The sequence below is a fragment of the Homo sapiens genome, chromosome 1, assembly GCF_000001405.40.
Source record: "Homo sapiens chromosome 1, GRCh38.p14 Primary Assembly".
In the NCBI taxonomy this organism is placed as follows: Eukaryota; Metazoa; Chordata; class Mammalia; order Primates; family Hominidae; genus Homo; species Homo sapiens.
Window position 1 is genome coordinate 33,454,440 of NC_000001.11, and position 27,957 is coordinate 33,482,396.

Here is a 27,957-nt window from a genome sequence, read left to right on the forward strand (position 1 = left end):
TTAGGGTGGACCCTAATCCAATATGATCAGTGTCCTTATAAAAAGGGTCAGTTTGAACCCAAAGCTAGGCCACATGGAGGGAAGACCATGTGAAGGGAAGCAGGGAGAAGATGAACATTGACAAGCTAAGGAGAGAGGCCTGGAACAGAGCCTTTCCGCACAGCCCCCAGAAGGAACCGAGCCTTCTGACACCCTGATCTCAGACTTCCAGCCTTCCAAACTGTGAGAGAATACATTTCTGTTATTTAAGCCACCCAGGGAGTGGAACTTTGTTACCGCAGCCCTGGAAAACAAATGCAGAGCCATTCTCCCCTGTTCTGCTTCCTGGCACTACGCACCATCTTGGGGGCTCGGAGAGCTGTGAGGTCTGGCAGGTGAAGGACCAGGCACCCCATGGAGCAGCAGGAAGTGGCAGCTGTGCATGCTCTGCCCAGCAGCAGAGTGGGAGCAGCATACTGCCTGGGCTCCCTGGCAGCATGGCTGCAGGCATCTGCAGAGATCAGCTGTGCCTTGCAGGAGCAGCTGTGTGAAATCAGGCTCAGAAGGGTGGATAAGCTCCACAGAGGAGTGTGGAGAGACCCTGGGGGTCAGCAAGGCAGTGGGGCTACTGTGGGAATGGACTTGCTTTTAGCATAAGTGAGACATGCCCTGGGATAAACTTGGTGGGTGACTCACACCTATAATTGCAGCACTTTGGGAGACCGAGGCGGGCAGATCACTTGAGGTCAGGAGTTTGAGACCGGCCTGACCAACATGGTGAAACCATGTCTCTACCAAACAAAATAAATAAAAAAGAAAAAAAATACAAAAATTAGCCGGGCGTGGTGGCAGGTACCTGTAATCCCAGCTACTTGGGAGGCTGAGACATGAGAATCACTTGAACCCAGGAGGCAGAGGTTGCAGTGAGCCGAGATCGTGCCACTGCACTTGAGCCTGGGTGATAGAGCGAGACTCCATCTCAAAACAAAAACAAAAACAAAAACACACACACACACACACAAAACAAAAAACAAAACTTGGTGGGAACACTTTCCAGGGGGCTGGAGATGATCTGATTACTGAAAATTGCTTTCACAAACTCCCACAGATTGTCCCGACCCCTCCTCCCCTCTCCTCCTCTCCTCCCTCTCCATCAGCCACTGGAGGTACCACCTCTCCTCCGCCTTCTCCCATCTTCTGGGACTTCAGTGCTAAAAGTCACTGTGCCCTGCATATTTCTGGGAAGTGCTCTCCCCTCCCCGCAGATCTCAAGCCTTTAGGGAAGTGGAAAGAAGCTCTTCCTACAAGAAGGTTTTGGATCCTGTTTTAGATGAGACTGGGTGAAGTGAGGCCCAGAGGAGAGGGAAGGAGGTGGCTGGGAATTGACGTCCGGGGGGCCACGGAGGAAAAAGTGGTTTAGACAGAAGGAACAGTATGAGAAAAGACACAGAGGCATAGGTGGGTGCAGCATGTTGAAGAAGTTCAATGCTGTGGTAGAGAGAGAGAGAGAGAGAGAGAGAGAGAGAGCGTGAGGATCTGACATAAGATGGGCAGGAGGAAATAAGGGGCCAGATATGACTGTAGTGCCACCTGGTGCTGGAAGGAGTCAGAGCCTGGCCTGAGATGACATTCTGCTCTGGAAGACTTAACTGGAGTCACTAGTGAGTAGCTCAGGATGCCTACCAACTAATGAGCCATTTCTGTAGCTGGCTTTCCAGTGTACAAAATGCTTTAGCAATTTCCCAGTGTTCCAACTCCCTACTGCTGTATAACACACAACCCAAAAGAGCAGCATCCATTTGCCCTCAGACCTGTAACCTGGGCAGGACTTGGCAGGAACATTTCATGTCTGCTCCATCTGGCATTTGCTGGGACAACTGGAATCACCTGAGGGCTGTCACTCACAAGTCTGGCAGTGGATGCTGGAACCTTAGCTGGTGCTGTGAGATAGAACACCTCCATGTGGCCTCTCCTTGTGGCCTGGACTTTTTCACAACATAGTGGCTGGGTTCCCGGGGCGAGTGTCCTCAGAGTGAGAGCCAGGAGGAAGTTTTTCTAAGTTGGCCTTGGAAGTCTTTTTGTACCACCTCTGCCGCATTCCACTCATTAGCAGCCGGTCACTAAGGCCTGCTTGTATGCAAAGGGAGAGGAATTGGACATCACCGTTTTTTAAGGGGAAAATCAAAAAATTGTGGACATGTTTTAAAATCGCCATGCCCTGTGAAGTAGGCTCTGTTATCTCTGTATTCCAGAGAGGCTGGGTGACTCACCAAGATCACACAGCCACCAAGAGGTGGACGTAGTTCTAACCACAACATACATACATACATGCACATATGAAATGTGCCACATACATGTATACACATACACACATGTGCACACAGGTATCAAGTGCCTCCTATGCCTAGCACTTTGCGTCATTTGACACAGCCACTTGGTATATAATAGTCATTTTGTTTTGTTTTGTTTTATTTATTTATTTTGAGACAGGGTCTCACTCTGTCATCCAGGCTGGAGGGCAATGGTGCAATCACAGCTCACTGCAGGGTCTATCTCCTGGGCTCAAGTGATTCTCCCACCTCAGCCTCCTGAGTAGCTGGGACTACAGGCATGTGCCACCACGCCCAGAAAATTTTTGTATGTTTTTGTAGAGATGGGACTTCACCATGTTACTCAGGCTAGTCTCAAACTCCTGGGCTCAAGCAATTTACCTGCCTTGGCCTCACAAGATGCTGGGATTATAGGCATGAGGCACCACCCCTGGCCTATAACAGTCATTTTAAACTGAGTACTTTAAAAGTTGAACTAATTCTTCTAAATCTGTTCTCCCACAGTCTTGGCATCATCCTTGACTTCTCTTTCCTCACACCCCACGTCCAACTCATCAGCCAATGCTGTCAGTTCCATCTTCAAAATATATCCAGAATTTAACCATGTCTTAACCTCTTAATCCCAAGTCTATCACCAGGGTTCAAGCCCACATTATCTTACACCTGACTTAATGCAACAACTCCTCACTTATCCCTCTGCTTCTGTCCTCATGCAACCACCACTATCCCCAGCAATTCTGCTCTTATCATAGCAGCCCGAATGATTCTTTGATAGTATAAACAGGCTTGTGTCACTCCTCTGATGAAAACCCTCTAATGACCCCATATCTCATACAGAATAAAAGCCAGAGTCCTGACAACAGTCTACGGCGCCACCCTGAGCGGCTATGCCCTGCAGATGTCTCTGATTTCATCCGCTATCCCTCTTCTGGCTCATTCCACTTTAGCCGCCCTGGCCTCCTGGCTTCCACCTCCCACCTTAGGGCCTTTGCACTTGCTGCTTCCTCTGCCAGAGAGATGGGTGGTTCCCTCTCCATTCTTCAAGCTTCTGTTCAAATGTCACCTCACTAGAGAGGTCTTCTTAGACACATTACTTAAAATTCTACCTTGATTCCTACCCTTGTTTCTCCCCATCCACCTTCATTGCTTTATTTTTCTTTCTTTCTTTTTTTTTTTTTTGAGATGGAGTCTCGCTCTATCACCCAGGCTGGAGTGCAGTGGCGCAATCTCGGCTCACTGCAAGCTCCGCCTCCCAGGTTCACGCCATTCTCCTGCCTCAGCCTCCCGAGTAGCTGGGACTACAGACGCCCGCCACCACGCCCAGCTATTTTTTTGTATTATTAGAAGAGACGGGGTTTCACTGTGTTAGCCAGGATGGTCTCGATCTCCTGACCTCATGATCCGCCTGCCTCAGCCTCCCAAAGTGCTGGGATTACAGGCGTGAGCCACCGTGCCCGGCCCATTGCTTTATTTTTCACCATATAACTCATGATTATATAATATATTGTATATTTACTTTAAAAATTGTCTGTTTTCTCCCATTAAAAGTAAGCTCCACAGTCTCAGGAATTTTAGATGTTTTGTTCACTGCTTATTCCCCACCACCTAGCGCAGTGCCTGGCACATTGTTGGGTGAATAAATAAAAACTACAATTGTGCTTCTGTCACCTTCTCCTTATAGTTCTAAAAGCTTTGATGTGTGTGTTTTGTGGCTCTAGTAATAGAGCTTTTATTATTTCCACATGATCCTCTTTAATCACTTAATGATTTGTCTTAAATTCTATTTTGTTTTCATATTATTGTTATTATTACCAAATTATGTCTTTTCATTGTTGGAAAGACTTCAAAGAGTTTTATTTTGTTTTAGGTTCAAAGTCATGCTATCTGCTAAGAAAATAGGGTGGGAGAACAGAGCCTCTCAATGTCCTGGGAGTATTGTTTTGTCTCAGGCAAAAGTTCCTAACGTGGTGACTCATATTTAAAACCATCAGTCTTGTAGCATTAACTCATGGTTAGTAAAAACAGACACACACACACACACACACGCATGCATACACACAGACACATCTACAAACAACAAACCTTCCAGAATACAAAAGCAAAAACCCATCACAGGTGGGCAGAGCTTACCAGGGAAAGAGAACAGCTACTGCAAAAGCCCTTAGGTGGAGGTGGGCGTGGCCCTTCTGATCAGCAGAGAGAAGGCCAAGTGTGTTGGGAAAGAGAGAGAGAGAGATGGGGGGAGTTGCATGGTTGGTATTCAATGGTGGGTGAGAACCAGCTCAGGTAAGGCATTGTAGGTCAGACAAAAAAAAATTATAAATGTGATGGGAAGCCATTGAAGGGCTTAAGCAAGAGAGTGCTGTGATATGGTTTATATTTTTATTTATTTATTTATTTATTTATTTATTTATTTATTTATTGAGACAGAGTCTCGCTTTGTCTCCCAGGCTGGAGTGCAATGGTGCGATCTTGGCTCACTTCAATCCCTGCCTCCCAGGTTCAAACAATTCTCGTGTCTCAGCCTCCTGAGTAGCTAGGATTACAGGTGCCTGCCAGCACACCCGGTTAATTTTTTTTTTTTTTGTATTTTTAGTAGAGATGGGGTTTTACCATGTTGGCCAGGCTGGTCTCAAACTCCTGACCTCAAGTGATCTTCCCACCTTGGCCTCCCAAAGTGCTGGGATTACCAGCATGAACCACTGCGCCCAGCCATGGTATATTTTTAAAAACTCACTCGAGATTCTGTGTGGAGGATGGGTTGCAGGGGGCAAGAATGAAAGCAGAGAGACAAGTCAAGAGACCATTGCCATCATCCAGGCAAGAGTTAATGGCCCTGTGACCTAGGAGCCTAGCCATGGAGATAGACAGATGTGGGCAGATTCAGGGTAGGTCCTGATGTGGTGTCAACAACAGGGCTAGCTGCTGGGGATGAGCAAAGAGAGGAATCGGGAATGAGTTTCAGGTTTGTGGATGGAGCAACTAAGTGGATGGTGTCATGCTGTGTGCTGAAACTTCCCCTGATACGGAGACACTTGGAGGGGAGCAGGTTGGGATGGACACGGCAGGGCTGGAAATCAGGAGTTTGCTTTGACTAAGTTAACTTTGAATTGCTTGTTTGACCTCTAAGTGAAGATGACAAATAGGCAGTTGGGTATGAGTCTGGAGCTCAGGGAAAAGTCAGTGCTGATGACAGTGACTTGAAAGTTATTGGCAAATAGATGGTATTTAAAAGCCATGAGACTGGATGAGATCACCTAGGGAGAGAATGCAGAGGCGAGAAGGGAGCCTAGTGTTCCCTGGAAATATGCTTATGTTTGGGCAAAGTTGAATTAGAAGCAGCAGATGAGGGAGTTAAGGTCCAGAGGCAGGCTCTGCCAGAGACCAGACCAGGGTCTAGTGGGGCAGACAGAGGTGACAAGTGACACCACAGTGAATTGGTGGAACTTGTAAGAATTCTTGGAGATCCTCGGGAATGAGAACGTGGTAGGATTTCCTGAAGTCTTGCAGGTGAAGAGCTCAGATGGTAGCTGCTTACCTGTTAAAAGGAAGTGTGGCTTGCTGGCAGAGGAAACAAAAAGACATCTGAGTCACTGCTCTTGTTACAGGTTTGTCATCCCCATCCACCAGGAGCAGGCACTCTGCCGCCTTTGCCTGAGAAGTGCCCAGCTCAGAATAGCTGTGGCCTGAATAAATGAACAGAGTGAATGTCTAACAGACCTTGTTCACATGATCTAAAGAGGGGACTCTAAATAATAAAGTCTGCAGGCCAAAAGGACAAAAGATCTTGAGAAACCAGGACCAGATGACTCCTAAGAGTCCAACCTACGAGCCCTTTTTGGGGATGGGAGAGTGGTGTGTTTTGCTGCTCCCTTGAGTGAGAGAATATTTTGCTTCTCTTCCCAGGACCGTCGAGAACCCCGTCATTCCCAGGCAGAGCATCTCAGCAAGCTCACAGGATAGAGCAGGAATCACATGGACAGAGATTTCCTAGCTGGCTTCTCCTTCCCTCTGAGCTCCCACAGTGGATCCCAAGGGGGCTGGGAGTGGGGAGAGCATCAACATGGGAAGGGAGGTCAGGCAGGTCTAGGGGGTGATGGGTGGTGGGGGATGAGTAGGACTAGATCAGGAAGGAAAGGAGCTTCTGCACCCACCTCAGCTGGCTTTTGGCTTTAGTTCAACCTGTTGTTCCTCTTCTATGGAGAGAAGAGAAGGTTGAAGCGGAGATGAGACAGTGAAACTATGGCCTGGCTGATGGCTCCACTCCCTGGCTTCAGTCCTTCTCCAGGCCCAGCTGATTTAGGGTTCCGTGAACACCCACACACCCTCCCAACAAATTCTGCCTGGGTAGTCTGAATTTCTATTTCTGGACAGAAAAGGAACCCCAACTCAGACAATAGAGTAATTGGGTTACTCTCAGCCTGGCCTCTTTCACTTCCCCAAAAGGGCTGATGCTGCTGCCTCCCTGCAGGTCTATATATAGGGAAATCTCTGAAAGTTCTGCCCGGCTGCCCCTGGCTGCATTCCCATTTGTTCTGTGGATGAATAAAAATATCTCCTTGTTCTACAGCTCTTGTTGAGACCTCTCTGCCTATTCTCATGATGTTTGGAATAACAGGAAACAAGGGCACCCTTTCCTCAAGGCTCTTTGGGAATTACATCTGAAAACACCAAAGTCACAAAGGCAATGACAACAAAGGAATTTGCAGTCAAACCCCAACTAACCCCTGGATGCCCAAATGGGGAAGTCATAACTGAGGTTTTCTCACTTTTTGCAGAGGAAGAAACTGTCTCAAGGACTTTGGCCAGTCACTGGTCTTCCCTGGGCTGCAGTTCTTCATCTGGAGAACTGGGGTCAGGGGGAACACGCACACAAAAACTGGGTGGTTAGGATTAGGAGAGAACGTAGTGGTGGCAGACAGTATCTTCTCAACAAGTGCTAGTTATTTTTATTAGTAAAAGGAATTCTGGGTAGCCAAAAGAGGGAATTCTGGGAAATAAAACATTTCTGGTTATGTTGTTTACAGTGCTTATCAGGCTGGGCATGGTGGCCCACATCTGTAATCCCAGCATTTTGGGAGGCCAAGTGGGTGTATCACTTGAGATCAAGAGTTCGAGACCAGCCTGGCCAACATGTTGAACATGTTGAAACCCCATCTCTACCAAAAAATACAAAAATTAGCCAGGTGTGGTGACAGGCTCCTGTAGTCCCAGCTACTCGGGAGGCTGAGGCAGGAGAATCGCTTGAACCTGGGAGGCAGAGGCTGCAGTGAGCCGAGATCTCACCCCTGCACTCCAGCCTGGGCAACGGAGTGAGACTCCGTTTCAAAATAAAAATAAATACATAAAAAAGTGCATGGGAGGCCGAGGCAGGCAGATCACGAGGTCAGGAGATCAAGACCATCCTGGCTAACAAGGTGAAACCCCGTCTCTACTAAAAATACAAAAAAATTAGCCAGGTATGGTGGTGGGCGCCTGTAGTCCCAGCTACTTGGGAGGCTGAGGCAGAATGGTGTGAACCCGGGAGGTGGAACTTGCAGTGACCTGAGATCATGCCACTGCACTCCAGAGCCTGGGTGACAGAGAGAGACTCCATCTCAAAAAAAAAAAAAAAAAAAAGAAAAAAAGAAAAAAAAAGTGCTTATCAAGCTGTCTGGCACATAGGAAGGTGCAAAAAATGATAGTTTTATGAAAAATATTTAGTGGTGGGACAAGGACTGAAGTGAACTCAGGCCCATGAAAACCATTTGAATTGGTGGTGGAGCTGTGGATGAACAGTTTCTTCTCTTTATTTAGAATCCTAATATGGGTATGCGATGACATTGCTAAGCACTTGTTATGAGTAGGGATTATATCTGCTGACCAGTTAACCACTCCCAGCAAGTGTGATCACTTGGGTTGGTCACAAGTCTGTCCTCCAGGAGGACAGGAGCGCCTAGGTGGGGCTGGGGAGCACTGAGTGTATGGAAAAGGGGGTGGTGGAGACAGGGGGTCCGGAGCCTGTGTGAGGAGAAAGGAGCCGCTGAGCTTGGAGGGAGGGGAGACAGGTGGATGGAGACAGAAAGAGAAAGGGCCCTCCAGAAGGTGGCCCGGACCAAAGCAAAGATGTCTGTTTTCATTTCATTCAATTTATTATTTTGTTTATTTGCAATGCTGGTTTCTCAGTTCTCTTTCTTTCCAGAACAGTTCTCTCTGGGCAGCCCTGGCCAGACTGCAGCATGAGAATTGATCTGACCTCAGCCTCCTTCTGTAAACTTCTCACGCTAGCCTCGGGTGGGGATGGTGCAAACCTAGTCCTCTGGGTGTGTGTGGGGAGCGATGGGCAAGGGGGCTACAGGTGGGTCTTCTGGGCTCTAAGGGCTACATTTGGCCTCTCAAGTTTGAGGGTGGATCTATTTGCTGCTATGCTGACACTCCATCCCCACCCAGCCTGACCATGACCCTGGGTTCTCATTCCAGCTCTGCCACCTGCCTTCTGCTTGGCCCTGGAAAATCCCCTTCTTCTGTCTGGGCCTCAGTTTTCCCATATGAAAAGGAAGGCGTTGGACTAGATGAACTCAGAGGGCTTTTATGGCTCAGGCAGTCTGTAAGTCTCAGACCTCTGAAGGGTATGACTGGGGAAAGGAAAGAAACATGAACAGGAGTCCCAAAGGATTTCCCATCAAACACTGCATTCCCCTACACCCCTCACTTGGGAAATTAGGGTAAAGCAAATCAATCTCCTGGCTACCATTACAAGGAGAATGAGGCAGTCCCATTCAAGTATTTCCTTCCTTTCTGCTTGACTGCAAATTCCACTCTTCTCACTTTAAAATAAGTAAAAGCCAGGCCGGGCATGGTAGCTCACTCCTGTAATCCCAGCACTTTGGGAGGCTGAGGCAGGTGAATCATCTGAGGTCAGGAGTTCGAGACCAGCCTGGCCAACAAGGTGAAACCCCGTCTCTACTAAAAATATAAAAATTAGCCAGGCATGGTGGTGCAGGCCTGTAATCCCAGCTACTCTGGAGGCTGAGGCAGAAGGATGGCTTAAGCCCAGGAGTTTGAGGCTGTAGTGAGCTATGACTGCACTACTGCACTTCAGCAGAGCAAGACCCTGTCTCAAAAATAAAATAGAATAGAATAGAATAAAAGGTACTCCCAAAGGGAAAGGAGCTACATATGCCCATCTTCTTCCATAAACTCATCAAGAATATAAGTCCCACTTCCTCCCAGAGGAGTTGTGAAGGGGTGAAGACAAACTAGAGGGTTATACTAACGGATGTCCCTTCACATGGAAGAAAACATCAGAAGTGGGTAACACGCATTCTCCCCTAACCACACAGTTCTAGACATGTATCATAAACTCAGTAAGTTTCATACAGACTAGTGGGTATTTACCATCACTTTGGCTGCCCTGCATCTGACGATTCCATGAGATACCCCAAAATCCTTTTCACAAGTTCCTTTTCTGCTTTAATCAGTTAGAATCAGTTTCTGTTGCATATAACAAAACCCTGACTGATGTAGAAATTTGTACAAGAAATGGTTGTGGACAAGAGACCCTCAGGAAAAGAGGGGGAATCTGAGGATTGGTTATTTGGGCCTGTTGGGACTGAGGGCAGTGAAAATCCAGCGTCAGACAGTGGGATTCTGACATATTGAGCATACACTGGTGAAAGAACCAAGTTAAAATTTCTAGTCACCTGGAATGAAGTGCCCCTTGAAAGCAAGCCTCTAAGAGGCAGAGTGGCCATCGCTGTAAGGTAATCTGAGGGCCACAAAGATTTCAAGGGGCCATGAGGCAGGATGGTTGCTTCTAGTTATACTGTATAGGTTCATATCATAACTCCTCAACTAAAGTGTTTACCTAAAAGCTAGGGAGCTTTTATAACTGTGGCTGAAGAATCTCAAGTTGTTTTTTTTTTTCACCCCTGGGAGGTGATTGAATTGTGGGAGAAGGCCCCTCATGAATAGTTTACCATCATCCCCTGGGTGATGAGTGAATTCTCGCTCTAAGTTGACTGAGATCTAGTTCTTTACAAGTGTGTGGTCATAGAGGGAAACAACAGACACTGGGGCTTACCTGAGGGTTGGCGGGTTGAGTGGGGGGTTGGTGGTGGGAGGAGGGAGAGAATCAGGAAAAATAACTAATGGGTACTAGGCTGAATACCTGGAGGATGAAATAATCTGTACGTCAAACTCCCATGACACCAGTTTGCCTATATGACAAACCTGCACAACTATTCCTGAACTTAAAATAAAAGTTAAAAAAAAAAAAAGCATGTGGCGTCTCTCCCTTCTCTCTCGCTCCCAGTGTTGCCATGTGACACTCTTGCTTTCCCTTTGCCTGTGAAAATGTAGCTTCCTGAGGCCTCACCAGAAGCTGAACAGATGCTGGTGCCATGCTTCTTATACAGCCCGCAGAGCCATGAGCCAATAAATCCTCTTTATAAATTACCTAGTCTTCGGTATTCCTTTATACCAACGCAAATAATGGCCCAATACAGGGCCCTTCCTTCCTTGCTGCAGCCTGGAAGAGCAGGAATGGAGCCTTATAGTCTTCTGAAGTTTGGGCTTTTTGGAATCTTCCATTTGGAACACTGCAAGATATCCAAGAGAGCAACATTTCGATGTATTATTTTGCTTACAAGACTTCTGCTTTTTAGAAAACCCTGATTTCTTCCCACTTTCTGTTAGGAGTAAGGAGAGCAAGTAGTAATGAGGGATGATGAGGAGTGAAAGCCCATTCTGACATCCATGTGTCATTTGCAGCAATCTTATGAAGCAGGCAGTAGTATATTTATTTTACAGATGAGGAAACTGAAGTTTAGAGAGGTGAAGTACCGTGCCCAGAATAATGACAGAGTGGTTCCTAGACCTGTGATCCCAAGTCTTGTGCTCAGAAACAGTGCTTGCTTCCTTTTTTTTTTTTTTTTTTAGATGGAGTTTCACTCTGTTGCCCAGGCTGGAGTGCAGTGACATGGTCTCTGCTCACTGCAGCCTCTGCCTCCTGGGTTCAAGCGATTCTCCTGCCTCAGCCTCCCGAGTAGCTGGGACTACAGGAGCCTGTCACCACACCTGGCTAATTTTTGTATTTTTAGTAGTGATGGGGTTTCACCATGTTGGCCAGGCTGGTCTCGAACTCCTGACCTCAGGTGATCTGCCCGCCTTGGCCTCCCAAAGTGCTGGGATTACAGGCGTGAGCCACCTCGCCCAGCCTGCTTGCTTCCTTAAAACAGAGAAGTGAGACCGGGACCCCATCTCACCATTAGTCTGCTTCTTCTTTTTCCTGACCCTTGGAACCTCAGCTATAAGTATCTCCTTGTCCCACTCTTCCATTCAACTCCCTAGCAGTTCTACTGTTGGTCCTTTGACCGTGGCACACTGGGGGCCGTGTATCTTTTCACTGTTGTGAGTATTGTGTATGTGTATTTTGGAGGGGGAGGATAGGGTCTGGAAAAGGGAAGGGGATAGAGTGGGATTCTGATTCTGCTTCTCTGTGGACTAGACTTGGTGCTGAGATGGACAGGCACTTGCTGTTGCCTGGTCTGCTCCTGTCCCTTCCTCTGACCGCAGGCTGGACCATCTCCAATAGTTTAGTGACTGAAGGCTCCCGGCTGTCTATGGTCTCCCGCTTCTTCCTGATTTGCCTCTTGGACTCCAGCCTGCCTTTCCTCACCACATGCCTCTCAGTGATCAACTTGGTGCGGGCCTTGGAAACTGTGCTGCAGAACGTGGAGGGTCTCTGTCAATCTGGTTCCACTTCTGCTCTGCCTCAGGATGCCTTCTCCCGCTTTCCTGGGCTCAAGGTCCTGGGGCTGAATCTGCATCTCACCCAGCTCCTGCCAGGAGCTCTCTGGGGGTTGGGGCAGCTGCATTATGTCTTTCATAGCTCCCACCGTGGGAGCATTAATCTTCCTACCGCTGATGCCTTTGGTGACCTGAGATCCCTCCAGGACCTTGCTTTCTTGGGTTCCTGCCTGGATGGGAGCTTGGGTGTCCGGTTGCCTCCCAGTCTGTGATGGCTGTCGATCAGGTGTAATTTCCTTCAGAATGTGGGGGTGCTGGCTGATATCTTCCCAGATCTGGTGCATGGCCCCTCCTCTGGGGATGCCTGGGCCTTGGACATGTTGGACCTGTCATTCAATAGTAGGCTGAAGCTGGCCAGTCCTGGAGCCTTCCAGGTCCTCAAGCTGGGGACTCTGAATCTGGACCACACAAAGATGAAGGCAGATGCACTGGTGGGACGGGGGCTGCAGAGATTGGATGCCCTGTGACACTCACTGACATGGCTGAGCTGCCTGCCAGGATGGTTGCCCATTTTGAGCTTCAGGAGCTGAATTTGGGGATTAATCGGACAAGGCACATAGCCCTGGAAGGCCTGGCTTCCTGTCACAGCCTGAAGAGCTCGGGTCTTCGGAGCAATGGCCTGATTGAGTTACCACGAGGTTTCCTGGCTGCCATGCCCAGGCTTCAGAGACTGAACCTGGCCAACAACCAACTGAGGAGCGCCATGTTGTGTATGAATGAGACAGGGTTTGTGTCAGGATTGTGGGCCCTGGATCTGTCCAAGAATAGGCTGTGTACCCTGTCCCCAGTCATCTTCTCCTGTTTGCCCCACCTGCGGGAGCTGCTACTTCAAGGGAACCAACTGGTTTGCTTGAAAGACCAGGTATTCCAGGGCCTACAGAGGCTACAGACCTTGAACTTGGGCAATAATCCACTGGTAACCCTGGGTGAGGGCTGGCTGGCTCCTCTGCCTACACTGACCACCCAAAACCTGGTAGGTACTCACATGGTGCTGAGCCCAACCTGGGGCTTCCGGGGCCCAGAAAGTCTGCACAGCTTGAGAATACAGTTTCCCTTTGGCCCTGCGGGAGTAGCATTTTCCCTGCTCACAAGACTGACTAGCTTGGAGCTCCACGCAGTTTCAGGCATGAAGCATTGGAGGTTGTCTCCTAATGTCTTTCCAGTCTTGCAGATCCTGACTTTAAAGGGCTGGGGACTGCAGCTAGAGACCCAGAATATCTCCAAGATCTTCCCTGCCCTTCATCAACTCTCCCTGCTTGGCAGTAGGTTGGAGCCCCTCTGTTCCCAGGACACCTCCAGCTTCTTCCTCTGGCAGCTCCCGAAGCTCAAGTCCTTGAAGGATGGGGAAACAGGCATAGCCCTAGGCCCTACTGCATCACGGGACTGCCCAGTCTACAGGAGCTGAAGCTGCAGGCACTGCAGTCTCAAGCATGCCCCTGCCCAGTGCGGCTTGAGGAGCTGGTGGGTGAGTTGCCCAGGCTTGATATGCTGCAGCTGTCCCAAACAGGGTTGGAGACACTGTCTGCTGCTGCTTTTGGGGGCCTCGGCAGTCTCCAGGTCTTAGTACTAGACAGGGAGAAAGACTTCATGCTGGATGACAGCCTCCAGGAGCACAGTCCTCGGATGCCCCAGTACATCTATATTCTGACCTCATCCTTGGCCTGCCAGTGTGCCAATGCCTGCGTGGGGCCCTGGCTTTAGCAGTCCCCCAGAACATACATGCACATAGTATCACAGCAGCTGTGCCATTCAGAAGCTGGGGGCCACTCAAAGAATCTCTTTTTCCCTTTTCTCTGGAGCCACTGCCCCAAGACTTTGGGGTTGGAGCTCTTTTTTGCGCAGCTCTGCCCTGCTGCTTCTGCTGGTCTCCTTGCCCTTCCTAAAGGAAGCCAGGAATTCCTGGATCCTCTAACTCAAGGCCTTGCTCAGGGTTTGGTTCCAGAGTCTGAGGAGTCAGAAGGGTAAAGGCAAGAGGTTCCTCTATGACGTGTTTGTGTCCCACTGCAGGCAAGACCAGGGCTGGATGGTGCAGGAGCTGCTGCCTGCTCTAGAGGACTGCCCTCCAGCTGGCCGGGGGCTGCCACTCTGCCTCCATGAGTGGGATTTTGAGCCAGGCAAGGATGTGGCTGACAATGCAGCAGACAGCATGGTGGGCAGCTGGGTCACGCTCTGTGTGCTGAGTCACCAGGCCCTGCACACCCCCTGCTGATGCCTGGAGCTCCTCCTGGCCACCTCCTTTCTGCTGGCTGTCCCCCACCCCCCAAGGGCTACTGCTGGTCTTCCTGGAGCCCATCTTACGCCACTAGCTCCCTTGCTGCCACAGATTGGCCTGGTTGCTCCGCTGAAGAGACTATTGCATGTGGCCCAAGGAAGAGGAAAGAAAGAATGACTTCTGGGCTTGGTTAGGGAGCAGGCTGGAGCACCCTGGGGTAGGGTAGAATGGGTGCGTGTGTGTTGGAAGGTGGGGGTAAGAAAAGCAAGCCAGCTTGGCAGGGAGATAGTGAGTATGTGTGGGCTATGAGACTGAACTCAGTTTTTAGTAGAAGGTGGGGCTACTGTGTGTGCAAGGGAGAATCAAATGGGAACACAGGCTTTGGGAAGGCTCTGGAGGCTGAATAAGAAAATCTGGGAGATGGCAGGTGGCCATGTGGTACGTAATGTAATCTCAAGATCTCCAAACCCTCAATAAATGTACTAAATCCATGAATGCTTGGCTTGATTGAATTTTTTTTTTTTGAGATGCAGTTTTGCTCTTGTTGTCCGGGCTGGAGTACAATGAGGCAGAAGGTGAAAGGGTTGGATTCACAGAAACTGTAGTCCAGAGGAAATAAGGTTGGAAATTCATGGAGAGAGAGGGCAAAGAGAGAAGCCTTTGGCCAGTCCTAAGCTGTGGAATGGGGTCCAGGTCAAGTTCAACCAGATCTTCAAGGGGCCAAGGGACCCCTTTTGCCATCTGGGTTATAGAGGGATTGGCAGCTAAGGATCAAAAAGCTGGGATGCTGCCCAGGAGACAGCAGACTGATTGCCTGTTCCCTCAATAAAAAACATGAAGGCCTGTTCCCATCTATCTCCAGTTAAGCCTCATAGCAACACTGGGAGGAGAAGCCTACCCCCTTGTCACTCTGTACTCTGACTATGCTAGACTACCTGTGGGTCCCAGGACATCATCACACCTTTTGTCTCTGGGCCATTGCATATGCTGTTCTTGCACTGAAAAATACCTTTTCCCTGGGGAACTCTTAAGTATTATTTAAGATGCAGTTCAGCCATCACTTTCTTCAGAAGCCTTTCCTGATCTCCCAGCCTAGATAACTGTTGCCCCTGGGCTCCCACAATTTCCTGCACCTCCCTTTCTCAAAGGACTGATCACAGGCCTGAAAGCCACAGAAATAGTGGTCTCCAAAGCTGAGTGCACAAGATTATCACACTATGGTTGCAAAGAAACTGTTATAACTTCTATTTCTATTTTTTAAAAATCTTACCTTATTCTGAAGCTAGACTGCCTGCTTTTTTAGCCACGTGCCGTTAGCATGTTATTTAACCTCTCTATACCATAGTTTCCTTTTCTGTAATATGGGATAGTGTTAGACTCTCCCTCAAAGGGTTTTGGATGTATTAAATGAGTTAATACATATAAAGCACTGAGAGAAGGACCTAATAATGCATTGCAAATGTTCAAGGAAAGTTAGCTATTACAGGCACATCATTTATAAGTAAATAAATACACATATGTTGGGAGTGTGTGCTCAACTCAAAAACTCAAAAAGGCTTCACTTATGGGAGCGCTCTATTGGGAAAGTTTAGAGATCAGGCCCTGGGGTCAGAGACCAGGTTTGCTTCATCTCTGCATCCTTAGAGCCTAGTGTCTGCCCAAATCAGAGAGAGTCCTGGTAGACAAATGCAGACAGAACGCTTGCAAACCAAATCCTGATGGGTGCTGAACCAGAGAGAACCTGGAACAGGTTCAGGCTCTGTTGCTTATTTCTACACGGCACTAAAGGGCAGTTGGCCTCTTGAGGACTTCGTTAGTTTTTTCTCTTCTGTAGAATGCCAGGCTTTAATTAGACAAAGGCTAAGGGAAACCATAGAATAATTCGAGGCTGTATTGAGGGCGAGGCGCGCCCTCTTGTGTCCTAATGATGTCCTCTCCTCTCTCTGCACACTCGCCTCCCTTCTTCCTCTTAGGGCAGATGATGCTGAAGTGGACACGTCCTTACCTGACCCTGCAAAGCTGCCTCTCCAGCTTCAGATCCTGACACTCTCTCAAATGTTTCCGGCTCCCTTGGCACCCCACACTGTTGCACTGTCCCTCCCCATCTCAAACCCTCCTACTTCCACATATGGTCTCTTCCTCATGCAGTGTAGGACCTTTGGAGTCACATGCCTAGGGGGTGACAAATCGCAGCCCTGGTTCTTATTGGCTCTGTGATCTTGAGTAGGTCACTTCGTTTCTCTAAGTCTCATTCCCTCTTTGTAAAGTGGAGCAAACAATACCAATCTCATAGGGCTACTGTGAGACTTCAACACCAAGGAGTATTTACGGGTTGTTATTATGTTTACTGAGTAAAATCACATGAGTTATTACTACAAATAAGTTGGAACATGTTTCACAGAGAAGGAATTTAAACTGGGTCGTTAAAGCTAAGAATTCTCCTATTTTAACACTAGCCAACATGCATTGAGCTCTTACCAGATGCTAGGTATTGTCAATTTTCCCTAAGCCGCATAACCATTGGTAATAATAATAATAGCTAATGATTATGTATATTATTGTATTTTCTATTTTTTAAAATAGAGACGAGGTCTCACTTCGCTGCCCAGGCTGGTCTCAAACTCCTGGACTAAAGCGATCCTTCCGTCTCAGCCTCCCAGAGGGCTGGGATTACAGGCATGAGCCTCCGTGCCTGGACTAGCTAATGATTATTAAACACTTTCTGTGTGTCAGACATGTGTCACGCTCTTTACATACCTTCTCCCATTTATTCCTCTCAACAACTGTCTCAGGAAGAGGCAAGTATTATCATTCCCATTTTACAGCTGGGAAAATGCAGGCATAAAGAAGCTAAGTAATTTGCCCAAGGTTTCACAACGCGGGTGGTATGACCTGCATCCTTCATTTGAAAGTAAGAACTTTCAGACACAAGCAGCTTGACTTCAGAGACTTTTACCTAAATAGTCTCATTTAACCTTCATAACACCCTGTGATGTAAGTTCTCTTACATTACTTGCATTTTATAGATGAAAATTCCAAAGACAAAATAGATGGCAGTAATTTGTTCAAGGCCACACAGCTGCGAAGTAGTTGAGTTGGGATTTGGATCCATGTCTGACTACAAAGCCCCCATTCTCAACACCACATTAGATTGTTCATGCCCCAAAGTATTCACAGTGGTACAGAGCACCCGCATTTATATGAGGATTATTTTGTAATAATGATTAACATTCTTCCAACACCTAGGAAGTGCCAAGCTCTGTACTAACTGATTTACATAATAATAGCTAACAATCGCTGTGCATTATTAGGAGCCAGGCCCTGAGCTAATCGTTTTAGGTGTATTATCTCATTGAAAGTTCACAAAACTCTGTGACATGGATGCCATTACTACCCTCATTTTATGGTTGAAGAGAACGAGGTTCAGAATTCTTCCAAAGTCACACAGCTTAGCTGTAAGCTGGAAATTAAAGCTACAACTGTCCAGTTCTCTCCTGCCTATCGGGCTGGTCACCTCTAGTCATTCTCTCTTCTTATTTCTTATTGTGTCTGCTTTGATCTTTCAGGGTCTGAGGCTCTCACTTCGACCCCTCAGTAGAACTGGGCCCCCTTCTGCTCGAGTGCCCTCCCATTGGGCGGTGCTGTTATCCGGAAGCCTATGGAAAAGGCCAGGATCGCAACAGGTCCCGCCCCCATGTGTCGCGCCCGTTCCGATTTGTTCCAGTGCCAGGGTCCGTTAGAAGATGACATATCTATTGGCTGAAGACGTCTGAAAGGCAGCAAACGGAGGGGGCCGCCCCCGGCGCTCGCGCGGTTCCTTCTGGGAATTGTGGTCTCAGACGTTCCATTCCCAGGGTGGCGCCGCTCGGACTCCGCGTCCCAGCATTCCCCGCACGAGCCCGGGAGCACTTCCGCCCTGTTGTGAAGTGGGTGTCTCGGTGGGTGAGTCCGGGTGGCGGGGCGGGGGCAGCTGAGACGCAGGCTCTGGGCTGGAGACTTAGGAGGTGGTGGTGACACAGGGGGCTGGGGAAGGTGAGAGGGGAGAAAGAAGCTTATATGTGGGGGTGGAGGGTGAGGGACGGTCAAAGGATGTAGAGGCCGGAGATGGGAAGGGTCATACAGGGGTCGGGGATGAGGAGGCGATAGAGGGCCCTGGGAATGAGGAGGGCCTTAGAAGGGTCTGAAGGTGAGGGGGTTGAGGGAGGTTTTGGAGGTGGGAGAGTCATAGAAAGGTCTGGAGACCACAGAGGAAAGGATAGAGGGTCTGGGGCCCTGGCAAGAAGTGAAGAGGGCCTGAGCTTGAAGCCCGACCTTAAAAATAGTGTTTCAATCTCTACCTTCCCATCTAGAACAAGCATATCTAATTTGTTACCTCCCTAATGATTGTTACCTCTGGAACCCAGTGGATGGGACTGGCTATTGTGTTCTGCCCCAAACCTGCACTTCTTTCCTTATGTCTTATGGAAGTCAGTGGCACGATCATCCCATTTACCTACCTACCTACCTACTTACCCACTGATTCCTCTTGCATTCTTCCACGTCCAAGGATCTTCCGATCTTTAATTTCTTTAATATCTTTTCAGTCGGCCTCTTTCTTGTAGGGTTTTCGCAGAAGCCTTTTCAGTTTCCCAGCATGAACACACACATTGCACCTAGTGTGATCTGTTTCACCTACAAATCTGATTATGCCTTCTGCTTGAAAACTTTCATTGGCACCCAGCACCTGTAAAGTCCAAACACCTTGTCCTTCATAAACTCCTTTTGCAGCCTAATCTTCATGCACCTCACACTCCAGGGCTGTCAAGGTTTTCCTCGTTTCCTGGGTAGGCCATTTGGTTTTCCATCATTATATATGCTGTTCTCTCAGCTTAGAATATTCTCTCCTTGCCCTTCACCTTCTTTGCCAAGAGAACTTCTTTAACTTAAAAAAATTTCAACTCTTACTTTGCTCAATTCCCTTAAGCAAATTAAGTCACCCCCAACCCTCAGCTCCCATAACTTCTCCTATTACCACATTTGATCATAATTATCTGTGAAGTGTGTGTCTCTTCCATTAGACTGTGAACATCTCCAGGACAGGAACAGTGTCTCAATCACCTCTGTTTCCCCATTGCCCAGTCTAGAGCAGTAAACACTTGATGTAAAGCAGTAAATACTTGATGTATGTATGTGTGAATGAAGACCATGCAGGGTAAGCTTTGCTATACCAGCCTTGAAGACTTCTATTGCCAGTGGATTTCCAGGGCAGGAGCTTTAGTCTTCCTCTGCCTGGCAAGGCTATCTGCTGGAAGCTGAAGCTGATTCATTGCCAATGGGAGTTTAAGCCAGGGGTGACAAATACATGGAATGTGTGCTGCCAGTGCCCCTTCCTGTGTCCCTGGCAGTCATGGCTAATTGGTTGGTTCTCAGCACATATTCACACTGTACTCAGAGCCCTCAGCACACTACTCTAGGCAGCCACTTCCAGTTGATTGAAGTTTCTGCTTTAAATGAAACCTATTTGCTCTCCCTGGCTTAAGCCCTTATGTGTGAGGTCAGGTCAGACTGCTTTAAGCCATAGCTTGGACTGTCAGCCAAATGGGCCTGACAGCCTTTAAGAGTTCCCAGTTTTTTCTCTTTGGAGGTCACAGACCAGTCTTGGCCTTTCCTGTGGAACTGGAGAGCATCTTCTCTTCCCTTTTCACTGAGTGGGCTCCTCATGACCACGTTCATACTTACTGCCCTAGGAGTCAAGATGCCCCTCAGCTTCCCTGTGTTTGTAAAGACATCTTGATTTTGATGGCAGTCAGCACTTATCCCTCATGACCTGGGAGGCTCTGTACTCTTTCTAGGTCTTTCTGGATATTGGAAGAGAGCTTTGAGATCACTTAGCTGAATCTAAGTGGCAAAGCGACAGCCCATGCTGAATGAAGTCCACCATCATGCTTTATTTAATCTCATAGTGTGTGAAAAAATTTTGAGTTGGTTACCAACATTTAAAAATCCAGAGTGCTAGTTTCTTTTGGAAAAATCAGCAGGCTTAGGAATATTCTGGGCATATGTTCCCCTGGCACTCTATAGTTGGCTGTAGTGCCCACCCAGTTCATTTCAGTCATTGACTCATTTACATTGCTAGGTCCTTATACCCATTTAAACTTGTAGCCACTGACTCTAGTCTCCCTTCTCCCTTGCTCTACCCCATCATACTAATTGGGGAACCTAGGGCAACTGCTGAGTAAGATCAGGCTGTAAGCTGCAGCCTAGCTAGGCAGCCACAGGGGCTACATAACTTGTCCAAAGTAACACAGCTGATTAGTGGCAGGAGTGGAACTAGAACCCCAGTCTGCTCACTCCTGCCTTAATGTTCTTTCCATTCTCCCGTACTGTCATCTTAAGAGTTTGGATGACTAGCACACATAGAGGAGGCTATAAGACATGGTTAAGAAAAATGATTGGAGAAAAGGGATCTCGGCTTAGACCCTAACTCTACCACTTGCTAGTTGTGTAACCTTAAGTGAATCTTCATAAACACTCAGTTTCCCTTTAGGTAATTGAGGATATAGTGCAGTCATACCTTATCAGATAATAATATTCTAAGGGTGAAAATCACTTTAGCCAAAAATCACAGTTAGTTTGAAAATCCTTTGGCAAGGAGCCGTTTCAGAAACTAACACGCTGCCTTTCAATAAATAAACTAATCAGCACAGCTGGGCTTTCTTGTTTGAACATTAGATGAGAATTCGCTTGTATTAGGGACTGTGCGGTATGAAAGACACTTTACTCACACTTAGTGGAAAGAGAGGCACGAGGGAATCAAGACCAACCTGGTGAATAGCGAAGTCCTAGGTGCCACCACCACATGCTTATTCTCGAACAGATAGTGAACGCAACTGGCTGCACTATTTAAATCATGCTCTTTCTCTCTTTCTTTTTTTTTTCTTCTTTTTCTGAGACAGAGTCGTGCTCTGTTGCCCAGGCTGGAGTGCAGTGGCACGATCTCAGCTCACTGCAACCTCCGCCTCCTGGGTTTAAGCAATTCTCCTGCCTCAGCCTCCCGAGTAGCTGGGATTACAGGTACGAGCCACCACGCTTGGCTATTTTTTTTTTTTTTTTGTATTTTTAGTAGAGACAGGGTTTCACCATGTTGGCCAGGCTGGTCTCGAACTCCTGACCTTGTGATCTCCCTGCCTCGGCCTCCCAAAGTGCTGGGATTACAGGCGTGAGCCACCGCGCCCGGCCCTCTTTCTCTCTTTCTGATCTTTGCAGTGGAAGTTACAGATCAGTGAAATGCAGCTCAACACCTAATGAGACTCCAGTTGCTGCCTGGAGGCTTCAGTGAGATTATGAATGTGGAACACAGCACTGTGCCTGGCACCTTGTGGGCACTCAGTAAAGGGGTACTCTTAGAAATTGCTGGTCCTAATGAGGCTCGATATTCCTGGTCATCTCGGAACTGAGGAATGCCCCGGTCCATTTTCCCTTGTTCACTTCTGTGTGAAGTCACCCGGCTGTTGGCCGACTCTGTTGGCCTCCCTCTCCCCACAATAGCCTGCTATCCATACTTCGGTCTAACTTCCTTAGAAAGTTACGGTTATGGTTCCTTAGAAAAAAAAGGTTATGGTGATATGTGGTCCCTGGGGCTTTCCGATTTCTATTTGAAACAAACCTTTGGGACTTTCAAGTCTTTCCAGGAGAAAATACCTATTATCTGAGACTCTGAGCTTTGGGCCTGGTGTGACTGCTAATTGCCTATTTTGTTGTAGTGTCCTGTTTGTGCAGGAACGCAAATGTCTTTGCTTGCTTATTGACTGTCTGTCTCACTAGACTGTAATTTTATTGAAGGTAGGGACTGTCAGTCCCAGCTACTGGTAGATCTGTAGCTTCCAAACAGGGTATAGCTGGTACTCTATAAATGATTGATGAATTGCTCCTTGTGTGAGAGGGTGACAGAAATGTGTTTGAACTCATGCATCAATAAGGTTGTGGTTCAAAAAGAAATTTCATGAAAGGCGAATTCTTTAGGTTCAAAAAGAAATTTCATGAAAGGCAAAATCTTTCTACATATGTGATCTCTCTGAGTGCTTATAGCAGTAATGTAGGTAGACAGAAATAGTTTAGTTTAATATAAATTATGGAATATCTGTATCCCATTAGGCTTTTGATACGCCAGGTTTATCATTTTAATACATGGTAATAAAACTTTTTAATGGCCCTGCTATTTATCAGATACTGGGTTGAGCACTGTGGATACAGAAATTAGTAACATACAATACTGATTCTAGTAATATAGTATAATGTGGGTGTCAGATATAGTAACAGGTAACTACAATAGTGTAGGATAATACCTATATTAGAGGTATGTACCAATTGCTTTGGTGATATAGGATCAGGGAGGCAATTCTTGGAGGGCAGGACATGAAAAGGGCATGTCAAGGAACTCCTATCAAAGGAGGTGACATTTGAGCTGGTGGTTGAAGGATGAGTAGGAAGCTGCCAGGTAGCCATGAGTTGTGCTTTAAGCCTCTTCCTAAGCATATGGAGGCCTTTAGGGCAAGACTTTAATTTTTATTACCCTTGTCTTGTTTCTCTTCAGTCCAGTCAGATTGCCCAAAATGAAAAATACCACCATCTCTCCATTCTCAATTCAGTTGTGTCATTCCCACTTGGAAGCAGCTAATGATCTCCTTTGAGTGGGCATTTTTTATGTCACCCAGACTTGTTGGGATGACACAGAGAGCTCATTTTTTCAAATAACCCAGCATGGGTGCCATCAGAGAGGCTGTAATCTCCTCTGGGACACACATAGATACGCACATCCTTCTCATACAATGTCTCATACAGTGTAGAAAGTGGTAAGTGTCACAGAGACATGGAAATAAAAGAGAAAGGAATTCCTTTTGGCATGAGCGCGAAGGTCATTTATTTTTTATCTAGTGTGCACAGAAAGGGATTAATTGCAATCCTTGCTTAATGACACACCATCATCATTAGTCAATCATTCGTGACTTTATTATTTATTGAGTACTTCCTATATGTGCTGAGCACTGTGCTAGGTCTCTTGGGAAGCTAATGATCTAGTGGGTAAGAAAATTACAGTAAAGCATGATCTGGGCTATGGTAGAGAAAATGTAAGATGCTATGGGAGCTTGTGGTCGAGGACTGAATCTTGTTTCAGGGTGCAGGGAAGGCCTTACGGAAAAAGAGCAATTTAAGCTGAGACCTTGCTAGCTGAAGGAAGGGAGGAGACCATTCCCAAAGGAGACCTTCCCAAAGAGGGGAAGGTTCAGAGGGCAGCGTGGTGTAAGATCTGGAAGCTGTGCTTCTGGAGCACCATGACTAGTGGAGCATGGTAAAGAGACGAGTTGGAGACTTGGGTAAGGCTTGTGCTTTGTCCTGAGGGAAATGGTAGATCACTGGAGGGTGTTTAGCAGGGAGGTGGTGTAGTCAGGCTTTGATCTAGTTTGGTTGTTGTGCAAACAATAGAGCAGAGGTTGGGGTGAGGTGAGTGGAGGCAGGGACGTGTTAGGAGACTGATCAGGTGGAAGACATGATGATTCTCTGCACTGAAGTGGTAGCATTGGAGATGGAGATGCCAAGTGGACACAGCGTGGTGATGAATTGGATTTGGGGATCTTAGAGAATGATGATGACCAGGTTTCTGGTGTGGAGAACTTGATGGCAGTGCCTTCACTGAAGGGGGAGCTTCAGAAGGCAGACATGATTGCAGGAGAAAATAACAAATCCAGTTTTTGACTCATTGAGTTTGAGGTGCCTAAGGGACAGTCAAGTAGAAGTGTCATGAAGGGGTTTGGATTTTGGGGTCTGGAGGTCTGGAAACAGGTCCTTGCTGGAGTTTTAGGAGTCATGTATAGGGATGATGAATAATGCCAAATAGGTGGGATGACCAGGGGATAGCATAGAGTTGTTGGATTTTGCAAGGAGAACATCCTTAGAGGAATGCCAGCCAAGCTTTAAGATTAGGGAAGAAAGGCCTTAGGAAGGGGGTGACATTTGGAACCCAACTTGAGGGAAGGTTGGACTTTGGACATGTGTAGAAGGGAGGAAGTCTACACTGGACCAGATCATGGAGGTGTGGGATGCCAGGCTAAGGTGTTCAGGCATGACCTAGAGGATTGAATACAGTGCTGTCTTCCTCCAAAGTGTGAGGCTCAAATGAGATATTAATTGACATTTTGTGAGCACTCACTGTGTCAGACACTGGTCTAAGCTTTTTATATATAGATCCCTCATCTAATCAACCCAGCAGTCAAGTAAGGTAGGTGCTACTGGCTTTGGTGCCAGATTGTGGCCTTACTTCCTGCCTATGGGAAAGGGGCATCTCTTAGCACCTCTGCCCCCATGCAAAGGTGGCGGAAGATATGGGGGAAGGGGGAGAATGAAGCTTCTGCATCCTTTTGCTCACACTCTATCCTTTGTCTTTCTGCCTTAGAGCCTTGGGGAGCAGTCCCTTTTCTAGGAGCCTCTTGAAGGACTCACCGTAGATGCAGGAAGACATTGGATGAGGTCAGCATAGCTGAAGTGAGGTGTCTGGGTTAGACAATGGCTATGGCCCTGGAATTGCAAGCCCAGGCATCTCCGCAGCCAGAGCCTGAAGAACTCCTGATTGTGAAACTGGAAGAGGACTCTTGGGGATCAGAATCCAAACTCTGGGAGAAGGACCGTGGCTCTGTCTCTGGCCCAGAGGCCTCCCGCCAGCGCTTCAGGCAATTCCAATACAGGGATGCAGCTGGACCCCACGAGGCCTTCAGCCAGCTCTGGGCTCTCTGCTGTCGTTGGCTGAGGCCGGAGATCCGTCTCAAAGAGCAGATCCTGGAGCTGCTCGTGCTGGAGCAGTTCCTGACTATCTTGCCTAGGGAGGTCCAGACCTGGGTGCAGGCACGCCACCCTGAGAGTGGTGAGGAGGCTGTGGCCTTGGTGGAGGATTGGCACCGAGAGACCAGGACTGCAGGACAGTCGGTGAGACAAACAGTCTTCTCCTGCAGAGGAGTGGGTCAGGCAAGGCAGCAGGGTTGTGACTACGTTAATAATTGCCAAATTCACAATAAAAATAACAATAGTTATTGAGAACTGACACTTATTGACCACTACTGTATACCAGGAAGTGTTCTAAGTGCTTTACATGTATTAACCCACTTAGTCCTGTCAACAATTTAATGAGATAGGTGCTATTATCCTAATTTTACCAGTGAGAAAACAGAGACAGAGAAAAGATAGGTAAGTTGCCCAGGGTCTCAACAGCTGCTAGATGGTAGAGTCAGGATTTGAACTCAGGCATTCTAACTCTAAAGCTGGTATGCCTAACCACTACTCCAAACTGCCTCCCACTACCGTATTCACAATATGATTAACTCGTGTTTTATACTTAACAAAATCTTTCTGCATATGTGATGTCTCTGAGTGCTTATAGCAGTAATGTAGGTAGACAGAAATAGTACTGTTGTCCCCATTTTATAGATTAAACTAAGAGCCAAAAAGTTGGCCGGGAGTGGTGGCTCACGCCTGTAATCCTAGCACTTTGGGAGGTTGAGGCAGGTGGATTGCTTGAGCTCAGGAGTTCAAGACCAGCCTGGGCAACATGGTGAAACCCTGTCTCTACAAAAAATACAAACGAAACAAAACAAAATGCCAAGTGGCCCACAAAGGTCATCAGTGAATAGACCAGAGCCTAAAGCCAAATCCTTAGGTTCCAAGGTCATTGTTCTTTCTACTGCATGTCAGATGCCTCCTCTGCAAACCATGGGAATTAAAATACCTTTGAGCCATGAGGCTCAAATGAGATATTAGTTGACATTTTGTGAGCACTCACTGTGTGTCAGATACTGGTCTAAGCTTATATATATAGCCCTCATCTAATCAACCCAGCAATCCAATAAGGTAGGTGCTATTATCATTGCCATTTGCCAAATGGGTAAACAGAGATGGAGAGGTAAGTAACTTATCTAACTTTATATAACTACGTGATAGAGCTGAGGTAAGGGAAATGAAAGTATGGATTTAACATTCGCAGTTTCAACAATTTGCAAGTGACCGCTGAAAGCCCATGATATAATGCATAATTTTGCTATGACACACATTTTGAATCCTGCTTCAAAGCTGGTATATGTAGAACAGATCCTTTAGCTGGATCCAGAACCTTCCTCTAAACATGACTTTTTCTCTACTTGTTATAGTTAGTAATTCTTGTGATATTTTACTTACCCCCATTTTGCTGGGGGAAATTACAGGTTTGGGAACATATCCCTTGCAAATGGCAGGGGTTTTCTGTACATTTAAACTGTAAAGTTCTATACAGTGTGAGGTTGGGGGAGCAAAGGTTTTAGACCGGTGACTTTGCTCTTTGGATTCCTTTACAAACTGATTGAAGATACAGGGAGACTAATATATAAAGTTACAGAACTAAGTATGAGAGAGTGTGCCTTATTTTAATGTACCTCCCCACCCCCCTATATTATTTCTTTTAAAGAAACCAGCTGTTTGTCTTAAGTGGCAGTGAAGAAACAAATGGAAGTTTTAGGGCTTCAGAGTTGGGACATAAAGAACTTGAGACCCAGAGATGAAAACGGATTTAAATCAAGGTCTTTATGATTCTTCATCTGTAAAATGAGAGGGTTGGATTAGACCAAAGGTTCTCAAATTATGCCCCTGTGAGCTGACCAAAAGTTGAACTGCTTCTAAAATTGAGAAAAAAATAAGGTAATGGAATCTTGTCTATTATGTATTTTTGTTTTTACTGTGACTTTTTTTATTTTTAAACTTTCCTACCTGCTCCTGAGTGGTCACAAATTTCAAAACAAATGGACAAGTAGCAGAGGAGCTTGTTTTTTTCAGGTGCAAATGTAGCTTGTGATCTTACATTGCAAGATATATAACTTAGTTGCATTCTCTGCAAGTAAAATTTTTCAAGTCTTAATAATGGGATGAAATATAGTTATAATATTCCTCAAAGTGAACCTGAAAAAGGTTGGTGCCTACAGGACTAAATGGCCCCTAAGGTAATTTCCTAAAAGGGATCTTTCAGCTCTGCTATTTTGTGATTGTTACTTGTTTCTTCTGTCATCACCATCTTGTTGAATCCCCCTCTCTGTCAGATGCCCCCTCTCCATCAGGTGCACAGGGATTTTTAAAAAACAGGCTTTATTTTTTAGAGCAATTTTAGGCTCAAACTCACAGCAAAATTGAGCAGAAGGTACAGAGAGTTCCCATCCCTCCCCGACAAGCCTCCCTAACTATCAACATCCCTGCACCAGAGCAATATGTTTATTACCATTGATGAACCTACAGTGATACATCATTATCATCACTCAAAGTAGCAGTTTATGTTAGGGCTCTTAATGTTATTCATTCTGTAATGTATGACATTAAGAGCCCTATTATAAACTGTATCTACCATCATAGTGACATAGTAACATGTATCTACCATTGTAGTGACATACAGAGTAGCTTCACTGCTGTAAAAACCCTCTGTGTTCTACCTGTTTATTCTTCCTTCCCCCCAACCCCTGGCAACACCGATCTTTATACTGTCTCCATAGTTTTGCCTTTTAAAAAATGTTACATAGTTGGAATCATACAGTATATAGCCCTTTCAGATTGGCTTCTTTTACTTAGTAGTATACATTTAAGTTTCCTCCACGTCTTTTCATGGCT

At 46.8% G+C, this 27,957-nt stretch overlaps 1 protein-coding gene and 1 pseudogene across 12 annotated transcripts in view, besides 7 other annotated features; both read left to right on the forward strand.

Annotated features, from left to right (window-relative positions):
* Positions 429–928: an enhancer, noted in NCBI's record as "H3K4me1 hESC enhancer chr1:33920469-33920968 (GRCh37/hg19 assembly coordinates)". NCBI's record gives its function as "activates a minimal SCP1, AML or CMV promoter by ChIP-STARR-seq in naive H9 embryonic stem cells {active_cell/tissue: H9 hESC(naive)}" and the evidence as "EXISTENCE:reporter gene assay evidence [ECO:0000049][PMID:30033119]".
* Positions 6,404–6,453: an enhancer, noted in NCBI's record as "active region_708". NCBI's record gives its function as "activates an Ori minimal core promoter by ATAC-STARR-seq in GM12878 lymphoblastoid cells {active_cell/tissue: GM12878}" and the evidence as "EXISTENCE:reporter gene assay evidence [ECO:0000049][PMID:35858748]".
* Positions 6,574–6,653: an enhancer, noted in NCBI's record as "active region_709". NCBI's record gives its function as "activates an Ori minimal core promoter by ATAC-STARR-seq in GM12878 lymphoblastoid cells {active_cell/tissue: GM12878}" and the evidence as "EXISTENCE:reporter gene assay evidence [ECO:0000049][PMID:35858748]".
* Positions 8,611–8,660: a silencer, noted in NCBI's record as "silent region_625". NCBI's record gives its function as "represses an Ori minimal core promoter by ATAC-STARR-seq in GM12878 lymphoblastoid cells {active_cell/tissue: GM12878}" and the evidence as "EXISTENCE:reporter gene assay evidence [ECO:0000049][PMID:35858748]".
* TLR12P (toll like receptor 12, pseudogene) lies at positions 11,810–14,536 on the forward strand (annotated as a pseudogene).
* Positions 13,728–14,254: an enhancer, noted in NCBI's record as "H3K4me1 hESC enhancer chr1:33933768-33934294 (GRCh37/hg19 assembly coordinates)". NCBI's record gives its function as "activates a minimal SCP1, AML or CMV promoter by ChIP-STARR-seq in naive H9 embryonic stem cells {active_cell/tissue: H9 hESC(naive)}" and the evidence as "EXISTENCE:reporter gene assay evidence [ECO:0000049][PMID:30033119]".
* Positions 14,255–14,779: an enhancer, noted in NCBI's record as "H3K4me1 hESC enhancer chr1:33934295-33934819 (GRCh37/hg19 assembly coordinates)". NCBI's record gives its function as "activates a minimal SCP1, AML or CMV promoter by ChIP-STARR-seq in naive H9 embryonic stem cells {active_cell/tissue: H9 hESC(naive)}" and the evidence as "EXISTENCE:reporter gene assay evidence [ECO:0000049][PMID:30033119]".
* Positions 16,169–16,463: a silencer, noted in NCBI's record as "tiled region #11456; HepG2 Repressive DNase matched - State 12:CtcfO". NCBI's record gives its function as "represses a minimal TATA promoter and a strong SV40 promoter by Sharpr-MPRA in HepG2 cells {active_cell/tissue: HepG2}" and the evidence as "EXISTENCE:reporter gene assay evidence [ECO:0000049][PMID:27701403]".
* Positions 18,206–27,957, forward strand: part of ZSCAN20 (zinc finger and SCAN domain containing 20) — a 28,999-nt gene continuing 19,247 nt past the window's right edge. For 5 of the 12 annotated variants that reach the window (NM_001377376.1, NM_001377377.1, NM_001377379.1 and 2 more), the window contains exons 1-2: positions 18,206–18,252; positions 24,740–25,266. In NM_001377376.1, the coding sequence (NP_001364305.1) occupies positions 24,850–25,266 (417 nt within the window). In that variant the 5' untranslated portion in view covers positions 18,206–18,252; positions 24,740–24,849. The remainder of the gene's footprint in view (positions 18,253–24,739; positions 25,267–27,957) is intronic. The other 7 variants (NM_145238.6, XM_017002238.2, XM_047429971.1 and 4 more) reach the window with 3 other exon arrangements.